This window comes from Homo sapiens, chromosome 12 (assembly GCF_000001405.40).
Source record: "Homo sapiens chromosome 12, GRCh38.p14 Primary Assembly".
Lineage (NCBI taxonomy): Eukaryota > Metazoa > Chordata > Mammalia > Primates > Hominidae > Homo > Homo sapiens.
The window spans coordinates 91,616,289-91,637,975 of record NC_000012.12 but is presented as its reverse complement, the minus strand read 5'-3'; the positions used below and the strand labels follow the sequence as shown (position 1 = coordinate 91,637,975).

General features: G+C 38.4%; 1 long non-coding RNA gene across 1 annotated transcript in view; it reads left to right on the top strand.

Moving 5' to 3' along the window:
- The first annotated feature begins 581 nt into the window (after window positions 1-581).
- The window catches only part of LOC105369896 (uncharacterized), a 361,170-nt gene continuing 340,064 nt past the window's right edge, over window positions 582-21,687 (top strand). Inside the window, exon 1 of the long non-coding RNA XR_001749251.2 lies at window positions 582-4,251. This is a non-coding gene — a long non-coding RNA (uncharacterized LOC105369896). The remainder of the gene's footprint in view (window positions 4,252-21,687) is intronic.

Sequence of the window (21,687 nt, the reverse complement as noted above, 5' to 3'; positions counted from 1 at the left end):
TGCAACTACTGTCCAGCTTTTATAATATATAAATATTCCTTCATTTAAACAGCTGTTTCTAAGCAAACAAAGGTAGCATATTATATAGATGAAAAACGGAACTTGAGTTGCCACAATCTTCTTATCCTATGGGGCCACTTGGAATTTGTATTTGTTCTTAAAGTAGAGTGCAAACTTTGAGGTGTAGTATTTTTGGTTGGTAAGCACAAATTTTAGTTTACAGATAAAATATATTTGTTACACTATTACTGAAAATAATTTGGTCAAATGGGAGGTTGTTAAAAAATTATCTGCTCCAGCTATCAAATAATGTTACTATAGCAACCCATTTATTATAAATACACCACTGAGTAAAAGCACAATTAAAATATATTTCTAGGCTTATGAAGTTTTCAATATAGTACATCAAATCGATATTAGAATGGGTAATTGCAATACTGCATAATTATGTACATAGCACCCTGTTGGAACAGGGAAAGGAGAAATAGGAATATAGAGGGCCTTTAGAATTATTTCAGATCAATTGACAAGAACCCCAAAATTCTCAAAAAAAAAATCCCTTGGAAATGGGCCATCTTGAAAATAGTTTTAATCTTTTTGGTATTATTTTTGAATATACTGTGACCAAGAGGAAAATTTTTCAGACTAGAATTACATGTTTTTAACTGTGTGATTGCAGTTTCATCTCTGTGTTATCTTTCATACTTTCTATACGACATAAAATATATGGGTGCAAATAAAAAACGCTAGGCATAATTGTTCATTTGAAAATATTTACTTCATGGAAATCTTGTGTTTGCCTATGGTTCATACACACATTTGTGCATCTATTAGTCTATTATCAAATTGCTGTAAAGAAATACCTGAGACTGGGTAATTTATGAAGAAAAGAGGTTTAATTGGCTCATCGTTCTACAGGCTGCACAGAAAACACGATGCTGGCATCAGCTTAGCTTCTGGGGATGCCTCAAGACACAATCATGGTGGAAGGCGAAGGGGCAACAGTCACATCACATGGCCAGAGCAGGAGCAAGAGAGAGAGAGGGGAAGTGCCACACACTTTTAAATAACAAGTCTCTCGAGAACTCACTATTGAGAGGAGGGCACCCAAGAGGATGGTGCTAAACCATTCATGAGAAACCACCTCCATGAGCCAATCACCTCCCACCAGGCCACACCTCCAACATCAGGGATTACATTTTGACATAAGATGTGGGCAGGCACACACATGCAAACTATATCAGTGTGTTTTGTTTCAAATAAGCTTTAAAAGCTGTGTACCAATTATTAACATTTTCAGTGTCAGAAGCGATACTCTATTAGGAAAAATATAAACACTTTTATTTAAATAAGTGGTTCACAATATAATCCGTGAACTCAAAATTAAAGTTTGCTTTAAGTTTTAAGAAAGCTTAAAGTTTGCAAGTTCTTTTAAGTAATTACTTTGCTAACCTTTTTAGAACGATATGAGTAAAATAAAGGAAGGACTTCCATTGCTAAAATGGCATTTTAACCAAAATCTGCATGGATTTTTTTTTTTAAAATATATACATTAAGTAGAAAGAGAAAGAATTCTTGTTAATATTGCAAACAGAAACTGGACAGAATGATATACTTAAATTTGAGGCACTCTCAAAGATTAGAAAACAGTGGCATGCAGAAACAAGTAATACCTGGGAGTAATGATTAACTTTTTGTTCTGCTTCCTAAAAAATATTATTGAAATAGAATAATTACAGCTAGGTGATACATACAATATGTCTACATTGTAAGTATATATGTGTGTGCATATGTATGTATATAGTAGGTTGATTAACTTAAGGATCAAATTCATAGGAGAAAATCTACCCCATAGCATAAAAGAGATAAAAATAAGAATTAGGCAACACTATAATATTTTAAGACACCCCTTTTTCAGCAACTTGTAATTTTTTGGATTTCAAGGGTTTTAAGGAGTAAAGTTTGGAATTTTCGGGACATAGAAAAATATTGAATTATTTTAAATTCTAGATGGAAAGAATCTATACTTTTAAATATGCCAATGAGACTCTAAATGTGCTGCTCATAAACACACTTAAATTCAGAAAGCACGTTTGAATTCAAATGTCTGTTTTCTGTAGTAAATAAGCGCTAGATCTGTAGTAATATCGGAATTAGAAATAAAAATTTAATTCAATTTTAGTGTAAAAATACTTAAATTCAGAAAGCACGTTTGAATTCAAATGTCTGTTTTCTGTAGTAAATAAGCGCTAGATCTGCAGTAATATCGAAATTAGAAATAAAAATTAAATTCAATTTTAGTGTAAAAATACACAATAACAAGTAACGTGTCATCTTTCACAATAACTTCAATATCTAAGTTTTTATTTTTTTACAAATAATTTTATTTCTTTGTATATAAACTTTTAAAAAAACGTACTATTGTGTCCGGAATTGGTGGGTACTTGATCTCACTGACTTCAAGAATGAAGCCGCGGACCCTCGCAGTAAGTGTTACAATTCTTAAAGGCGGCGTGTCTGGAGTTTGTTCCTTCTGATGTTTGGATGTGTTCGGAGTTTCTTCCTTCTGGTTGGTTCGTGGTCTCGCTGGCTCAGGAGTGAAGCTGCGGACCTTGGCGGTGAGTGTTACAGCTTTTAAGGTGGCCCGTCTGGAGTTGTTCGTTCCTCCCGGTGGGTTCGTTGTCTCACTGGCTCAGGAGTGAAGCTGCGGACCTTCGCAGTGAGTGTTACAGCTTTTAAGGTGGCCCGTCTGGAGTTGTTGGTTCCTCCCAGTGGGTTTGTGGTCTCACTGTCTCAGGAGTGAAGCTGCAGACCTTCGCGGTGAGAATTATAGCTCTTAAGGCGGCCTGTCTGGAGTTGTTCGTTCCTCCCTGTAGGTTCGTGGTCTCCATGACTTCAGGAGTGAAATTGTAGACTTTCGTGATGAGACCTTCACTGCCTTACAGCTCAGAAAGGCAGTGTGAACCCAAAGAGCAAGCAGCAGAAAGATTTATTGCAAAGACTGAAAGAACAAAGCCTCTACATGGCAGAAGGGGACCCCAGCTGGTTGGCACTGCTGGCTCTGGCCGCCTGCTTTTATTCTGTTATCTGGCCCCACCCACATCCTGCTGATTGGTCCATTTTACAGAGCCAATTGGTCTATTTTACAGAGAAATGATTGGTCCGTTTTGACAGGGTGCTGATTGGTGCGTTTACAATCCCTGAGCTAGACACAAAAGTTCTCCATGTCCCCACTAGATTAGCTAGATACAGAGTGCTGATTAGTGTATTTACAAACCCTGAGCTAGACACAGAGTGCTGATTGGTGCATTTACAAACCTTGAGCTAGATACAGAGTGCGGATTGGTGTATTCACAACCCCTTAGCTAGACATAAAGATTCCCCAAGTCCCCACTAGATTAGCTAGATACAGAGTGCGGATTGGGGCATCCACAAACCCTGAGCTAGACACAGGGTGCTGACTGGTGTGTTTACAAACCTTGAGCTAGATGCAGAGTGCTGATTGGTGTATTTACAATCCCTTAGCTAGACATAAACGTTCTCCAAGTCCCCATTAGACTCAGGAGCCCAGATAGCTTCACCCAGTGGATCCCGCACCTGGGGCGGCAGATGGAGCTGCCGCCAGTCCTGCGCTGTGCCCCTGCACTCCTCAGCCCTTGGGCGGTCGATGGGACCAGTCGCCCTGGAGCAGGGGGCGGCGATCCTGGGGAGGCTCTGGCGCGCAGGCGCCCACGGCGGGGTGGGGGTAGGGGAGAAGAGGCTCAGGCATGGCGGGCTGCAGGTCCGGAGCCCTGCCCCGCGGGGAGGCACCTAAGGCCCCGCGAGAAATCGAGCGCAGCGCCGGTAGGCTGGCACTGCTGGGGGACCCAGCGCACCCTCCTCAGCTGCTGGCCCGGTTGCTAAACCCTGCTGGTCCGGGTGCTAAGCTCCTCATTGCCCAGGGAGGCGGGGCCCGCCAAACCCACGCCAACCCGGAACTCTAGCTGGCCCGCAAGGGCTACGCGCAGCCCCGGTTCCTGCCCGTGCCTCTCCCTCCGCACTTCCCCTCAGGCTGAGGGAGCTGGCTCCTGCCTCGGCCATCCCAGGAAGAGGCTCCCACAGTGCAGCGACGGGCTGAAGGGCTCCTCAGGCGCGGCCAGAGTGGGCGCCCAGGCCGAGGAGGCGCCAAGAGCGAGCGAGGGCTGCGACGACTGCCAGCATGCTGTCACCTCTCACTATGACTGTCTGGGATCTGCTTTATAAATAAACAAGGTAGGGATATAATCTTAAATTCTCAGTAGCAGAGTTCATTCTGTTTTAAAGAGGCTCAAGCTACTAAGTTCAAAACAGTTGTTAAGAGGACCCCTTGAGAAGTAAGAAAACATGTTTTTTAGTAGATGGGAATGAATTGATATTGATCTCTTATTTCTTCTCCTAGATATCTAAGGAATCTATCCCAATATTTCTGGAGCAAATCTATTCCAAAAATATTTGTCTCATTAATATTCAGCAAAAAATGAAAACTCTATAAAACAGCTTTCATGAAGCATGATGGTAATATAGCAGAATTTGTCAACAGCATTTTGTTCCTTACTATCTTCTCTTCGAAGTCACGTGACACTTGTTAAACTTAGTAGAAGGTGGTATATTCTAATATTATGACATTCATTTTATCTTATTATTAACGTAGGTTTCCATTTGCCACTGCTTTGTTTTTTGTTATATAAATATAAAATATTCACCCCTCCTCAGGCTTCCTGAGTCTGTTATGATTAGTATAGGGTGTTCTGTTTGTTTCAAGTCATATGGAGCAGTGAAGTCAACAAGAATCTAAGAATTTCCCATTGCTCAGAGCAAACTTAATCTTTTCTTATGTCACACAAACAGTAGGAGTATTCAGTCAAATAAAGATAGGCTATTCTTCAACATGTTCTCTTTCCTCATGGCCAAAAACAACTGTGGCCACCCTGGTGGAGCTCTGTGGACTAGAGATGTTTCTCATGATTTTTCAGTGAGTTCTTAGGGGTCCCAGCCTCTCAGGCAGGTTATCATGACTCTCCCTCTGAGCTGATGAGATCGGACATCAAATAAAAATGTTCCACCATGTTGTATTTTTTAAAAAAGAAATTGATAGTTGTGGATTACTGGCTTTTGACTTTGTCTAAGAAACTTTGGCTTCCTTACTTGTGAAATGTGGATCATATGAAAGGTTATAATCATTTTATCGGAAATAACAAATGGGGTATGGAGCAAGCCCTCCCACAACGTCCCACTTCTGCCTAGACTCTAAAAGTGGCTAAAAGATAAAGACAAATGAGTCCTTGTCTGACAATAGAAATTTGATCCCTTCTTATGGCAGCTCTAGCTCCAACCTGTGTCTCTGTTATGTTGTTAAGATGGACATCCCACGAATGATGGATGAAAGCTACTGCGGTTTGAGTTATGATTGTGTGCTAGGCTCTGTGCTAAGTGCCTGAAGTTTTTTGTTTTATCTGATTTTCACAGCAAATTATTCACATTTTGAGACAAGGGGATTGAGGCTTAAGTATTGGCAACAGTTAAAAGGTGGTGTTTAAAAATGTATGTGTCTCATTTCAGAGGTCATGATAAATGAATTGAAGTCCTTCTGTGCCTTATTCTGTCCTAGTGTAATCCTCTGTGTGATTAGAATTCATCATCACCACTATGCTTTGCTTGTTTCTTCAGACTCTGTCCTTGTATTTAGAGCATTAATTGTATTAATTAGGATGGGTGATATTATGCTGCAATAACAAGCAGCCCACAATCTCAATAGCTTAAAGCAGCACAGGTCTAATTCTTGTTTGTGTTACATATCCTTTGCTGGTCAGTTGGGGATTCTGGTCCTCAGCATCCATGCTCCATGGCTAAGGCAACTCTTCTGGTTAATCAATATAACATGATTGTTTTCTTTTTCATAAAATAATATTTTATGTCATCCATTATGTAGATACACCCTAACTTTCTTAACAAATCCCCAATTATTGCATCTAGATGGTTTCACAATATTAGTTACCTGATATTCCCATTCCTGTGAGAAGATATATTCCCTAGTGTTAAAGAGCACAGTCCTCGGCCAGGTGCAGTGGCTCAGGCCTGTAATCCCAGCACTTTGGTAGGTCGAGGTGAGCGGTTCACTTGAGGTCAGGAGTTTGAGACCAGCCTGGCCAACATGGTGAAACCCTGTCTCTACAAGAATTAGTGGGGTGTGGTGGCGCACCTGTAATCCCAGCTACTTGGGAGGCTGAGGCAAGAGAATTGCTTGAGCCCAGGAGGCGGAGGTTTCAGTGAGCCGAGATCGCGCCACCGCAATCCAGCCTGGGTGACAGAGTGAGACAACATCTACAAAAAAAAAAAAAAAAAAAAAAGTACAGTCGTCAAGAACCAGACCCTATCCAGACCCTATGGATTTACTGCCATGTGTGCCAAAAGCTGTATGACATTAGGGAAGCTACTTAAACATCTTGGATCTCAGTGTCCTCCTGTGTGAAATGTAATTGTAACTATCTTACAGGGTAACTGTGTGGATTAATTGAGGCTTTAGATGCATGCAAAATGTGTAGACTATGGCTGGCTCATGGTGAGTGCGTATATATATATAGGTTAATAATTCATGATTAAAAACATAAAAATTTCTGGGAGTAGAATTTTCAAGTGAGAGGTTGTACAAATATTAAGGCTTTTAATACACAAAGCAAAATTGAAATGTATTTTTAAATTGATTCCCTGAGAGGAGCTAAAATTACTCTATAGAGTAGATCATGCACCATTTTCTAATGAAGAGTAAGGAACTGATGAAGCCCTCAGTCACATGTGGACAGCTCAGCATTTTTTCAGTACTATTTTCGTCCTAAATAAGACCAGATCTGCAGTGTCCTTTAATCAACTTCCTCTTTACACTCTGGCCTATGACCCACACAGAACTGTAGGAATATTTGTTCTTTGTTAAAAAGCTTATTTCTGGATCTCAGGCTCTCTCTGATGTAAGGCAAGCCCATCTGTCAGGCCCACCCTTCAGACCTTTAGCCGCTTTCCTTTATAAAAGGCAAGCAAGAACAATTCAACTTAACAAACATCTTTGATAGATGCAGGAACCAGTTCCATGTTTCCTCTCCATGTTTCAAGGCTCTCAGCAGCATATTCTCCTCCAGACATTTAATACATCCCATCAACATTTACATTTTTCTTACCATAAGGCTGTATCGCCTATATAATGTTTACATGAGGCAATGAAGTTTCCAAAAATAAAAAATGCCACTACAGCACAGTCCATATGTTGTTAAGAGTATCATTATACTTACTATTTGACTTTTTTTTTTTTTCCTGAAGAATCTAAAACCCTTATGTTCTTTCTTGGAACTCCATGTACTTACTACATATTGCTTTTTACTAAAATAATATACATATTACAGAGAAATAAATGCAAAATTTGCATCTAATTTGCTAAACAAGCAAATGAGTTGAATATTGTAGTTTTAGTAACAAAACCTGTGGCCACATGTCAGTGTCATCTGAGAGGCCAGAAATCCCCATATTCATGGATGGAAAGACTCAGATACCATTGATTTAAAAGCTCAAAGTCCACTGAAAACGAGAGCCCAGATTTAGCTCTTTGTTCCCTAACCCATCTGACTAGCATTTGGTTAATGTCGGTGTCTTGATAATACGTTTAGTGCAATCTCTTCCTCAGCATGATTAACTGTAATAGGGCTGCTGCTGAAAAGGTGTGCTTAATGTATTGTAAAGGGTCACAGATGGGGAGAATTAAGTCCAAGATGCCCAGCTAGCTAGACTATGAAAGCCATAATCCATATTTAATATCCTTTCTCATTAACGATAACAGTCACATATAAGCAATTTCAGTTAAGAACTAATCTAAAGCGGTAACAAAGTTAGATGGCATCCCTAATTACAGAAGGTAGGGCTCCATTAGTCCCACCCACTATTGGCTGTTCATCAATGTTAGTAGAAATTAATGTGGGTCTTATGACAATAGGGTGCTCAAAGCAGATTTTTGGTATATGGTTATTTAAGAAAAAAAAGGATCAAGTTTATTCCACATCTTCAGTTATTTCTTTTAAAAAACATGATTAAAAAATCATCTAACTTAATATGTACTCATGTTTTTTCTTTTTATTCTTTTTTGAAAATTAGTGGATATTTATAGGGCAATTTATGTATTCAGTATAAACGAAGCCTCTTTCAAAATATGATTATTTTTGAGATCATCTGATTTTGTTTAGTGGGATTAATTAAATTTATTTTCACCAGATAGACTGTCTTCTTTCGGATAGTACATTATAAAAATGACCTAATGCACTTACTAATTTACAACCAGACCAATTAAGGTGAACCTAGTGTCTGCAGCCCTGAAAGATATTGTTAAGTTAAAAAAAAAAGTGCATAGATAAGTTATAATAAAACCATCAAGGCACCCACAGCAGAAAGGTACCCATGCTTGACTATGTTTCAATTTAGTAGGAATTTTCCATATAAGTTTGAGACTTTGTGCTCACAGCCTTTACCAATTTCCTATTCCTCTTCCATATGGGATTATTAGCCCAGTGCATATTCATAAACTGGCATTCATTTGTTCAATCGGTATTTATTAATCACCGTACTGGTCAATGTACTAAGAGAGAAACAGTTATAACAAAATAGACAAACTCTAATCTTACATTTCTAACCTTAATATTCTTGTAGAGGAGGTAGGTTGTTCAACAAATATAAACACAAAAAAACATAAATTATTATGAATTTATATAAGAACAATTTATATAAATGTCTAATTAGGAATTTATTTTATAAAGCCATCAGTATACGGATTTAAATTGGGTGAAATGGAGAAAGCCTTTTAAAAGGAGTACATCAAATCACAGGAATTTAGAAGACAGAGCAGGGGAGATCTTTCAGATCACAAGGAAGAGCATATGCAAGTTTCTTGGATGGTAATGAGCTTGGTGACATCAGGAAACTGAAAGAAGGACTGAGTGAGTTTTTTTTTTTTTTTTTCAAGTGTCTTTTGCATGATTAATCTTGGGGCACAAATTATCAACAGGTGGTAAAGGATAAGTGCACGTATTGTGTCACAGAATTTAATTTGTTCTGGCTTAACAGAAGTATTTTTTCATAGTTTTGGCTGGATTTGTGCCCAAGTCAGGCTCTTCTCAGAAGCTCCAGGCCCTGGGAAAGAATGATGTTCAATCCACCCACAGAGTCTGGATCTAAATGGATAAATTCCACCAGCAATTGCATTGCATTGAGCTGTTTATTGCTTTATCATGAATCTGTTGCCTAGAAGCTCGTTAGACATCCTCTCTCTGTCTCGGTCAAATTCACCCTACTATTGGATTTCTGGTCATCTTACCACAAAAGAATGTTTGTATCTCCAAATCTTTTTCCTCATCATCTTCTGCAGACGTTTTCTTCTTGTTCCCTACCCTCCATCTGTTCACCTTTGGGGCTAATCAAATACTAAGCTTCCTAATTTGTTATTCCTTTATCTTCTGCCAATCAAATATCTCACATACCTAAAACCAATTTGCAAAGATCACAGTTAAGACAAGTAAGTTGCTTTTTTTAAAAATAGCATCTCTTATCACCCATATTATCACATAAAAGACATTAAGCTATAATGGAAATCAAGAGAATGGGAAGACAAGCCACAGACAGAGGGAAAATATTTGCAAAAGACACGTCTGATAAAGGAATATCATCCAAAAATTATGAAATTATGAAGAACTCTTAAAATTCAGTAATAAGGAAACAAACTACCTGATTTTAAAAATGGGCAAAATACCTGAACAGATATCTCACCCAAGAAGATATACAGATGGAAAGCAAACATATGAAAAGATGTTCAACATCATATGTCATTAGCAAATTGCAAATTAAAACAATGCTATACCACTACACACCTATTAATGCTCAAAATCCAAAACACTGACACCACCAAATGCTGGTAAAGATGGAGAGCAATAGAAACTCTCATTTACTGCTGGTGGGAAAGCAAAATGGTATACCTACTTTGGAAGACAGTTCAGCAGTTTCTTTCAAAACTAAACATACTCTTATTATCATGAAATCCAACAATACTCCTTAGTATTTACCCAAATGAATTGAAAACTTATGTCCACACAAAAACCTGCATAGTAATGTTTATGCTGGCTTCATTTATAATTGTCAAAACTTGGGAGCAACCAAGATGTCCATCAGTGGGTAAGTGGATAAATCAACTGCGGTACATCCAGACAATGGACTATAATTTACTGCTAAAAAAATAGCTATCAAACTATGAAAAGACATGGCAATAACTTCAATGTATATTGCTAAGTGAAAGAATCCAATCTAATAAGGTTACATACTGTGTGGTTCTAACTATATGACATTCTGGAAAATGCAAAGCTATGTAGACAGTAAAAGATAAGTGGTTGCCAGAGGTTAGTGGGGAGGGAAGAATATGCAGAGCAAACAGGATCTTTAGGGCAGTGAAGCTACTCTCTGTGATACTACAGTGGTAGATATATGTCATCATACCTTTGTCCAAACCCATAGAATGCAGAACACCAAGAACGAGCCCTAACATGAACTACAGCCTCTGTGGGTGTGTCAGTGTAGGTTCTTGGATTGTGACAAATGTACTTCTCTGGTGAGGGATGTTGACAATGGGGGATGCTATGCATGTGTTGGTGGAGGGCGGGGGGTATATGAGAAATCTCTGTATCTTCCACTTAATTTTGCTGTGAAACTAAAATTGCTCTGAAAATAAAGTTTGTTAATAATTATTATTATATTTGTAAACAAAACAGACCAAAGCTTATAGTCAATTATATTAAAATATGTGAGTAAATATATTTGCATTTATACAAATATAACTACAAATTATAAGAAACCTAATGGAGGAAAAGTAGAGCATATAACAAGTGAAACTTAAGTTAATTTAAACTTAAAGATGAGTAGCTATTTGACAAAGAGTGGGAAAGACAATTATTCCAGGAAGAAAGATAAGTATGTGACTAAGAAAGCGTGATATCCATAGTAAGGTAAAGAACATTGTTAAGAAATAGGTAATGGATGTAAGAAAGGTACTGGGGTGAAGATGCTAATAGATAAGAAAATGTTTTCTTCAAGCGTCCAGGCAATAAATATTTGGTTCTAAGCTGTCAGCATTAGTGGATTGTGTTTAACAAGTATCAATGACAAGTGAAACAAATTAACACATTGCCAACTTAAATAGTATATTGAAAAAGGCTACATAGTATGGAATTATTTGTGGGGCATCCTGTGGCTATTACACTTACTAATTTGCAGTATCAAAGTTTTTCATTCTTTGGTGTGTGAATCTTAATACAGGCTTTCTCATATTTATACTATTTGTGTAGGTTCGTGTTTTCTGTTTTACTTTGATTTTAGATGATACCTGGAGTTAGAAAAATGGAAAAGTGGAAAAGTTCCCAAGACTGCCCTCACTTCTAATAACAACTGCAAGTTTGTGTTGGAGGGGTTTTAAAACCACCCTCAGGCTGGATAATTCACTAGAAGGACTTACAGAGCTCACAAAAAGCTGTTATTTCACAGTTATGGTTTACTACAGGGAAAGGATATAAATTAGAACCAGTGAAAATAAAACGTGTATAAGCCAGAGTATAGGAGGTTTCTAAAGATGAAGCTCCTGATTTCTCAAGATGTTCTATCCTCTCAGCATAGATATATGACAATATGCAAAGAGAATTGCCAACCTGGGAACCTCACCCTAGCTTTGGTGTCCAGAGTTTTTGTTGGGGCTTCATTATATAAGCTTAATTGATTGACTGGTTGCCCACATGATTGAACTCAGTCTCCAGCCACATTCTGCCGGTATTGAAGAGGTCTAGCTGATACCATGTGGCAAGAGGAGCACGCCATGAGTCACCTTGTTAGCATCAACTATTAGGTGTGGTAAGAGGGGTCCACCATGAATAACAAACGCACTCCCAGGCAATTAAGCACAGCAACAAACTACAAAATTAGGAGAATCAGTATAGATGCTCACATCCAGTTATTGCTATGTTGTGGCTGGTAACTTCTTTCTTTTTTCTTTTCTTTTTTTTTGGATACAGAGTCTCGCTCTGTCACCCAGGCTGGAGTGCAGTGTCGCGATCTCTGCTCACTGCAAGCTCCGCCCCCGGGGTTCATGCCATTCTCATGCCTCAGCCTCTCGAGTAGCTGGGATTACAGGTGCCCGCCACCACGCCTGGCTAATTTTTTTGTATTTTTAGTAGAGACGGGGTTTCACCGTGTTCGCCAGGATGGTCTCGATCTCCTGACCTCGTGATCCGCCCGCCTCGGTCTCCCAAAGTGCTGGGATTACAGGCACGAGCCACCGCGCCTGGCCTTGGCTGGTGAGTAATTTCTGTCAGTCACCTGGATCCAGTGTTTTTACAGCTGGAAAATGGGTCAGTTATATCACTTATCAAAAGGTTATCAGGCATTAAAAAAAAGTGGCAGTGGTGTTTAGTGAATTGTGTTTACATAAAATAAAAACTAAAGCGCTAGATAAACCTCAAAACCTTGAAAAATTCTGTGTCAGCATGGCGTGTGATTGGATTCCATATAAGTCAGGTAGAAAAAGTCCTTGGGAGGGAAGTTTGGGTAATGGGTATGGCATATTTTCAGGGCTACATCCAGTGCTGTATTATCCAACTAAACAAACAAATTGTGTCTTATGTACTTCCTATTTAACTACCAAAGAGAAGGAGAGAGAAACAGGATGGAGAAATTTTGTCTATATTTTTGCAACTAGAACATCTAGGAAGATGCTATTTTAAGTCCAACACAGTTCATTGCTTTATAGTTAGTAATGGTTTGTTTTATGAATTACATTTGTATGAAAGCTAAACTCAAAAGTTTTTAATCCAACTCTACCCGAGCTAATGGGAAGAAAATTTCTGAATGTCTTGATTTTAAGACTGAATAAACAGGAAGATGTCATAGACAGGGAAATAAGAACAACATTCAAAGTTCAACATCTGTGAGTAAATGAAATGTGATTGATAATCAAAGGCAAGAACTCTTCCTTTTTTTTCTTTTAGATGGAAACTGAGAAGAAGCCACAGGTGCATACTAGATGTCTGATTCAGATGCAGGAAAAGCTCTTTGAGAAAGAGAGATGAATTTCATCTAAGCATCTAGTTAAAAAAAAAGTGGGAAAACACATCCTGTGAGGCATAGAAATAATGATATATTGATTGATGATTCATTCCATTTATATTTAGCATCTAGTGTCTGCAAGGTACTGTGCTAGATACTGGGGATAGAGAAATAAACAAAATAAAAGGAGTCGCGGCCCTCAGGTGGCTTATACTGTAAAGGTAGAGACATCCAACATACAACTTAGTATGCACATAATTAGATTTAATTCCAATATATCTTTAAAGGAGAATTATGACATGCTAAAGAATACCCAGTGGGAAATACAACCAAGAGTGTGTGTGTGTGTGTGTGTGTGTTTGTGTGTGTGCGTGCACGTGTGCACTTTGAAAGGTACATTTTGAAAGAAAGGAGCAAGGCATGTGTACTTTGAAAGAAAACAGCAATGAGGAAAGGCTTTTCAAAGGAGGTAACATTTTAAGTCAAGACCAAAAGGATGATGAGAAATTAACCAAGTAAGAACAGAGGGTGTTGGCAAGAGCAGCTGATAGGCAGAAACAACATTGTATAAAAGTCTGTATGACTGGAATTTAGAAAACAAAAGGCATAAAGTGAAGGTGCTAATGTTGAGATGATGCATAACCAGATAAGACCTACAAATAATTTGGGTGTTCAATATATGGAAAGACATTAAGCGTATCCTGAAATGATCAGTGTTATCGAAAGATCATTCTGTAAAATAGAGAATGGATAAAGCAAGATCAACATGGAAAGCAAGAAGGCCAATTAGGGGTCTATATTGTTATATCATCATTTTATAATGGTTGCTTGGACTAGAGTCACAGAGTGGACATAGAGAAAGGTAGACAGATTTGGGAAATATTTTAGGAACTAACATTGACACTATAAGTTTAGTAATTGACAATATAATGGCTGAAAAGGGGGTGATGTCTAAAATGACTTCCATGTTTTTGTGTCTCATTTTCAAACTTATAGTTTTGAAAGAAAAAAGAATTGACTTTAATTGCTTCAAGACTCTTGAATCTCTAACAGAAAATATTTGCCTCTTTTTTGATATTTGTGAAGATGCCCTTTTGTAGAATTAAACATACTTTTGGTAGACGGGATTCTGACCTTTCTGAATGCTTTATCAGATTCTTTTCTTTAAAATGGGAAGTGGGGATGAGGGTTTCTTCGGAAAAGAAATGAAAAAGCAGTGGATGGGTGGCAGTGATGAAATATGTTCAAAGAGCCTATTCACTTGTCACTTGGCAGTGACCTATATTATGGAGCCTTGCTACCATTTCTGACAGTTTCATTAGATAAGTCAAGTTCAGGGTTGTCCAGAAAAGCTAAGATCTCTTCTCTTCAGTCTTAAAAAATAGTCCAGAAATTTACCTTGGCATATTTGCAGAAAAGAGCCTGGAACTGCTATCTTTGGAGACATCTGCTTGCAAGGTTGTCTCTTGGCTGGTGTCTATGAGCTTGTGTGGCAAATGGTTCCCTGCACTAATATAAAACTCTCCCTAAATAATAAGAGTGGCTCACTGTGCCTAAATTACATAAACAATATGGTTTATGCTAGACATCTGCTTTCCTTTTGGAAACCTGACATTTTGGTACAAGCTACATAGAGAGTGCCCATGTGACCAGCCCCCAATAAAAACCCAGGGTGCTGAGTCTCTAACAAGCTTCCCTGGCAGATAAAATTTCACACATGTTGTTACAAATCACTGGCTGGGGGAATAAAGAACGTTCTGTGTGACTCCCCTGGAAGACAACTCTTGATAGCTTATGCCTGGTTTCCTCTGACGTCTGCCCCATGTGCTTTCTCCCTTTCTTGATTTTGATTTGTTCCTTTTCCCTGTAACCAATCTTTGCCATGAACATGATTATAAGTTGAGTCCTGTGAGTCCTTATAGGGAAGTATCAAACCAGGGGGTGGTCTTGGGGATCCCCAACACAGTAAATTACTGGGGAACATTATCTTGCTGTCACCCGAGTTATTCCTCTAACAAGGCATTGGACATGGATTATCAATATTATAATTCAAGAGAGTAATGAGCTTGTCATGTACTTTGGGTCAAGATTATTTAGGACAATTTCAAATGTGAGTGCATCCCTTTAATATATCTTGAATTTGTTTGATTCACCTGAAGAAGATGAAAGTATGATTAGAATTATAATTCTGCATGTGATAATCTCCAGGAGTATAAAAACAAAAATGTCACTGATGTAAGTACTTTGGACTTCGTTTTCATCAAATTTTCTTTGTTGCTCACATTCATATCATTGATGTTATATTCAGACCACAAAGCTTTATATGAGAAGGCTCTAGTATTCAAAATGTTTTCTAAACAAAGGTAAAATATCTCATTGAAATGATGGTGAAATGAACAATATACAGGAAACAGCTGAAAACTGCTTCATGCTAAAAGCTTCCTGTGCCACAGAAGAAGGAACAGCATCAATAACATTGTCAACCATAAGTGACCCCTGGATTTGAATTGTGATTGCAGAAATGGCAATGTCCTTTCATTTAGGCAATTACTAAGCCTCTTAGAGCAACTTATGTGTGCAGGGTCCAAGATTCTTATTACCTACTGAAGCCTTTATTACCCTGCACAAATTTAGCACTCACTCTCTAATGCTCTGCTTTATCAAATTCTCATAAAATATCAATAACGTGCCCTGAAGAATTTTCTACTTTTTCCCCTCTGGAGCCATAACACAGTTCTTTAATCTCTGGTTATTATTTTTCAGTTGAAACGTACTAGGCTTCTCCTGAAATGTATTCCTAACCCTACCCCAGCCAGGTCCATGATTGGATTGACACTGTGTGTGTGTGTGTGTGTGTGTGTGTGTGTGTGTGTGTCTACTAAAAATGTCCTTGGGTAAGGATAAAGAGTAGTTGTGAATATTAGCCCATGCTTCACTTCGTGTGATTTTTGAACTCATTCTTAAACTCTCCTAAGGCTTGGAAATAAAGCTAAATATTTACCAAGAGATTATTACTTGCCTGATACTATTCTATTATTATTATTTTTTTTAACACACCAACTCATTTAAACCTTACAATAGGCTGGGCACAATGGCTTATGTCTGTAATCCCAGCATTTTGGGAGGCTGAAGCTGGTGGATCACTTGAGGTCAGGAGTTTGAGACCAGCCTGGGAAACACTGTGAAACCAATCTCTACAAAAAATACAAAAATTAGCCGGGCATGGTGGCGAGCGCCTGTGGTCTCAGCTACTCTGGAGGCTGAGTCAGGAGAATCACTTGAACTCAGGAGGTGGAAGTTGCAGTGAGCCGATATCGTCCCGCTGCGCTCCAGCCTGGGAAACAGAGCAATACCCTGTCTCAAACAACAATAAGCAACAACCAAACCTCACAGCAGCTTATGCATTAGGTGCTATGGTTATCTTCATTATATCAATGGAGAAACAAGACATAGAGGTGTTAAGCCACTTGTCCTAGGTCACACGGCTATTCAGGGGAAGAGCTGGCATGGGATGGGTCAGTCTGATTCAAGCCTGAGCTCTCAACCACGAGGACTTACTGTCTCTGAATATTCATCCCTTGTTTTTCATATTCGCCCCCTCAGCAGTGACTGTGGCTCCTCTAATCACACTTCATTTGTTTCTGCAGCTGTATGCTTTTCTACACTTCGCCCATGATGTGCTTTGTCCTATGCATTCTCAGCCTGCGAGCTCTTCACTCAGGCGCCCTCTCCCGTAAAAGCGTTTCACAGTCTGATAGGCAGCCTGAGAAACACTGTGCAGACGGTACAGGAACAATTATTGCCCATGGGGCTCAGACTGTGAACAAAGTGTGAAAGATTATTTCTGATTCCATTACTTTCAATTATTTAGACTCCCTTGCCATAGTGTGAGGAAGTAGAACTACACCAAAAATCTAGACTTCTAACATCAAAGAATGCAATTCCAAAAGACAAAAATTCTGACAAAGGAGGCCCCAGCCTTTCTTTCCCAGTATTGAATCCATGTTTGACTGTAGAACGTGTCAGACAGTTTTAAATACACGCCGTCAATTTCTACTGGGAGGCTTTAGAACATTTTCCCTTCCAGTGAAATTATATAATTCTCATTAAAATGTTATCTTATGGTTCAAATGATTAGCAAATACTATCTTCTCTGAATCCAAGAAAGCTGAAATTTTGTAGCAGAAGAAAATTCCAGTAACTACTACATGTTTTGTTAACAAAAAAATCTCCTTAGCTTACCACATAAAATTAGTTTCTTCCTTCCTTCCTTCCTTTCCCTCCCTCCCTCCCTCTTTCCCTTCCTTCCTGCCTTTCCCTCCCTCCCTCCCTCTTTCCCTTCCTTCCTTCCTTTCTCTTTCTTTCTTTCTTTTTCTTTTCTTTCTCTCTCTCTCCCTCCCTCCCTCCCTCCCTTCCTTCCTTCCTTCCTTCCTTCCTTCCTTTCTTTTTTTCTTTCTTTCTTTCTTCCTGTTATTCTGGATACTTTTCAGTCATGCAACCCTTATTCTTTCCCAGTCTCTAGTTCTCTGTCTCAGAAATAAAACGTTCTCCAAAACATTGCAAATTTTTTATTGTATAGTACCAAGAATTTCTAATTCCTTAGAATATCTATAATGTTAAGCTGATGGCAAATCTTAAGGTTTTTCAAATGTAGTATTTTCTTTCTTGTAAGTGACAGCTATTTTCAGTTTTCTCTCCTCTTTCCTGAGCAACTTTCCCAGGTCATTTTCTAATCTGTTAATTCTATTAATAAACTAAAGGAATCTCGACAAAAAGAAACAAATGGAAACTGATTATAAGACTTAGCAACTCTACATATTTTTCAGGTAAATTAGTTTTTTAGACTGGAGTCCAGTTTAGGACTATTTGTCAATTGTTTATATATGGATTCTCTTGGAAATATTAAGAAAAATTAGAGATTCTCTGGAGTTACTTGAATGGGGAAAAAAACTTAAGTAGTACTCAGTGGTGTCCTTCACCAAATTAAATTTTCCTGAATATGAAATTGTATCTTACATTGTTGGCTACAGATTTCACAAAGAGGGATTATATATAAGAAACATGATGGAAACTATATCTCATAAAAGTTTATGATTCAGGCCCCACTCACATTTAATGAGCATCTGTAATAACAAGCAATTATAATTTGTAAGTAATAAGAAGGTAAACATTTAGAAAATATTGGATAGGTGGATAAATGGATGGGTGGATAGATGGATGGATGGATAGGTGGATGGATGGATGAATGGATGGATGGATGGATGGATGAATTCAACACTCACTTTACATACAGAGTGATGATGATTTATTATTCCTTCAGCTCTCATTTTACCCTGTGCACTAGAGTCATATAGGTGTTTCTACTTGATGCTTAATAAGTGTTTCAAACTTAACACATCCAAACTGTCTTAATTTCTTACCCTGCTCACCTGCGTCTCTTCACTCCCACAACCCTCCAACCCTACTTTTTCCCCAATATTCCACAAAACAGTTCGTTGTACCACCATTCATTCCATTAGTTTCCCAGCCCCAAAATATATCATCCAGGTTTCCTTTCTTCAGCATCATCTCCCTACATCCAATCTATCAGCAAATCCTGTCAGCTCTAATATATCCCAAATCCCAACACTTCTATTTTCATGACCGTTTATTCAAATCTCTGGGCAATAGCATCCTAATTTTTTCTCAATTTCTACAGTTCCCTTCTACAACCAATTCTAAAATAGCAGAAAATAAGATATTAATATGTTAATCTATTATTCCCTGGTGGAAACTCTTCAATGGTTTCCTATTGCAATTAGAATAAAATTAAGATTTCTTCTTATGGCCTAAATGATCCACCAGTGTCTGATCCCTGCATACCTCTCCTGGGTGATCTCTTACCGTTAATTTCCTTGCCCGTCCTGCTCCATGTCAAACTCTTTCTATTAAGCCTCGTCACTAGCTGGTCTCTCTGTCCAGAAAGCTGTTCTTCCATCCCTTTTTCCTGGCCAGCTTCTTTCTATCATCCACACCTCTATTCAAATGTTATCTTCTCAGAGAGGTCTTCTTCAACCATCCTAATCAAATACCTGCCCTCACTGTCCATTCTGTTATCCTGTTTCATTTTCTTAAAATCAACTATCATTATCTGATACTATGCTATTATATACGTCTTTATTGTATTTATTTGTTTAATATTTTTCTTCTTCCAATAAAATGCAAGCTTCACGTGGCAGGGTCCTTGTCTGTTTTATTAACTTCTGTGTTTCCAGTGCCTAGCATGGGGATTGCCATGTAGTTGGAGCACAAATAATATTTGCTGAATCATTGAGTAAATAGATCATATCAGATAATTTACATAACCACCTTGTAAGATGAGTGACATCATCACTGGAATTTCAAGGCAGTAAAATTAGCTTTCTAAAATCACACCTGGTCAGACTCAGGCCTCTTCACACAATTTCTAGTTTCATCTCCGTCAATGATGGTTCCTCTCAAATGTTTCCCCACAGTGAACAGATATTTAGATTAATGTTCAAATTAAACTACATTACTCAGTATATTTCCATCTCACCTTAAAAAGAAGTCAACTTTCCACATACCTTAAGGACCAAATTATGTCAGGACAAAGACACAAAGATTTATTACTGCCAATACAGCATGAGAACAACCCAAGAACTGCAAATTAACTGGACATAATTTTGGTTGTGTCGTTCTCTAGAGCCCTTCCCTGAATGAGAAAATAATTGAGGAAAAATGTAAATGAAAAGGAGAAGCTTTCATCTGGGACACATAGAAAGTGTAATTGGAAACTTAGGCATGTGCCAATCACTTTTGGAGAATTTCAGAGCTTGGAGACCAGAGGTTCTCAAGAAATGAGTCATTACTTCAAGAACAGAGAAATGCAGTAGGTAAAAAAAAAAAAAGGATGTTGCTGCAGCTTTTGGGTTTACACTTGTTGCAGTTTATTCAATTTAGATATCTTTCTGAAACTTTAGATCAAGTCTAAAAGGTAATACCACAGGCAGGCATTTGTTTAATTCACTAATGAATATTTGTGATAAAAATTTTGGGCTTTAAATAAAGTCCTGGGTCTATGCCTGTGGTTATAGGAAAGCAAGAACTCCTGGTGTTTTTCACAATAATTTTTACTTGGAAATATTACTCTGGTGAGGATAATAGGGACTTCAGAAAACAGGGAGTGCTATGGCAAACCATAGACATCAAAGATACCAGTTCTGGTTAAAAGACAGCAGTTAAAGGTTAATGCTTAAGAAACCTTGATCACTATTAATATCAATAACTGTATCCAGCACCAGTTTTGTGGAAGAACTGAGGGTACAAATAAATCTATTGTACAGTCTGTCAGGAATATTGCAATTCATAAAGAAAAATAATATGTATGAGTAACCTATTATCCATTTTTGCTTCTTAAGAATTTCACTCTTGTTGCCCAGGCTGGAGTACAGTGGTGCGATCTGGGCTCACTGCATCCTCCACCTCCTGAGTTCAAGCGATTCTCCTGCCTCAGGCTCCCACCACCACACCCGGTTACCTTTTTTTTTATTTTATTTCTTATATGTTTAGTAGAGGCGGCGTTTCACCATGTTGGCATGTTGGCCTGCCTGGTCTCAAACTCTTGACCTCAGGTGATCCACCGGCCTCGGCCTCCCAAAGTGCTGGGATTACAGGCGTGAGCCACTGTGCCCTGCCCCTGATGTTCTCTTTAGCTTAAGTTACCTAGAGTTGGTTTCTGTTTTTTGCAACTAGAGAACCCTAACTAATTTTTATGCTAAATCTCTCTGAAAAATGTGGATTTAGTATTTTGGGGCTTCAGAATGAGAGCGAGCTGATCTTTTATCCAAGGGGACCAATTTGACTGTAAGAGATGCATAGAGGTAGAGAATAACATGAAGCCCTCTTAGATATTTTTATTTAGAGAAGAAAGGCACATTCACCAAGAATCTTAGCATTACTAAAGACATGTACTGTCTACCAGATACTAGGATGAATCTTAGAAACAACAACAAAAAAAATCAGTCTTAATTTTAGACAATTAAAGTTGTCAAATAAATTCAAGAGCTGCTAGAAATCTGAAAAGTCATGTTAAAGAACTTGGTGTTTCACATATCCATGAAAATAAATTGATAGAGAAAGCAGCTGCAGAAGCTTGAAGTGTCAGATTTCTTTCTCTTCACTTTTAATAGGAGGAGCTGTGCCATTTTCTGTGGGCCTGAGGCTTTCTCAGGAAGCTTCCCGTCAGGGGAGGATCCAGATCTGTCTGTTGCAGGGATTAGCAGGATCCACCGCAACAGGGAAGTTGGTGGGACATGTGGTGAGATGCCACTTTTCCATGAGCCCCAAACTTAAAGAAAAAAAAAAAAAATTGGGGCTGGCCATATAGCCTTAGAATGATGCTGGCAGTAGCTTCTGTTTACATTGCTAAATTAGAGTCATAAGCTAATGTATTTGGTATGATTGTGCATGTCCAATGCAGGCAAAGATTTCTACCCTACACTTAGTTGTTGGTAAGAGTAATTCAGTCTTGTCTTTAAGCAATAATGTGAAATAGCCACCAGG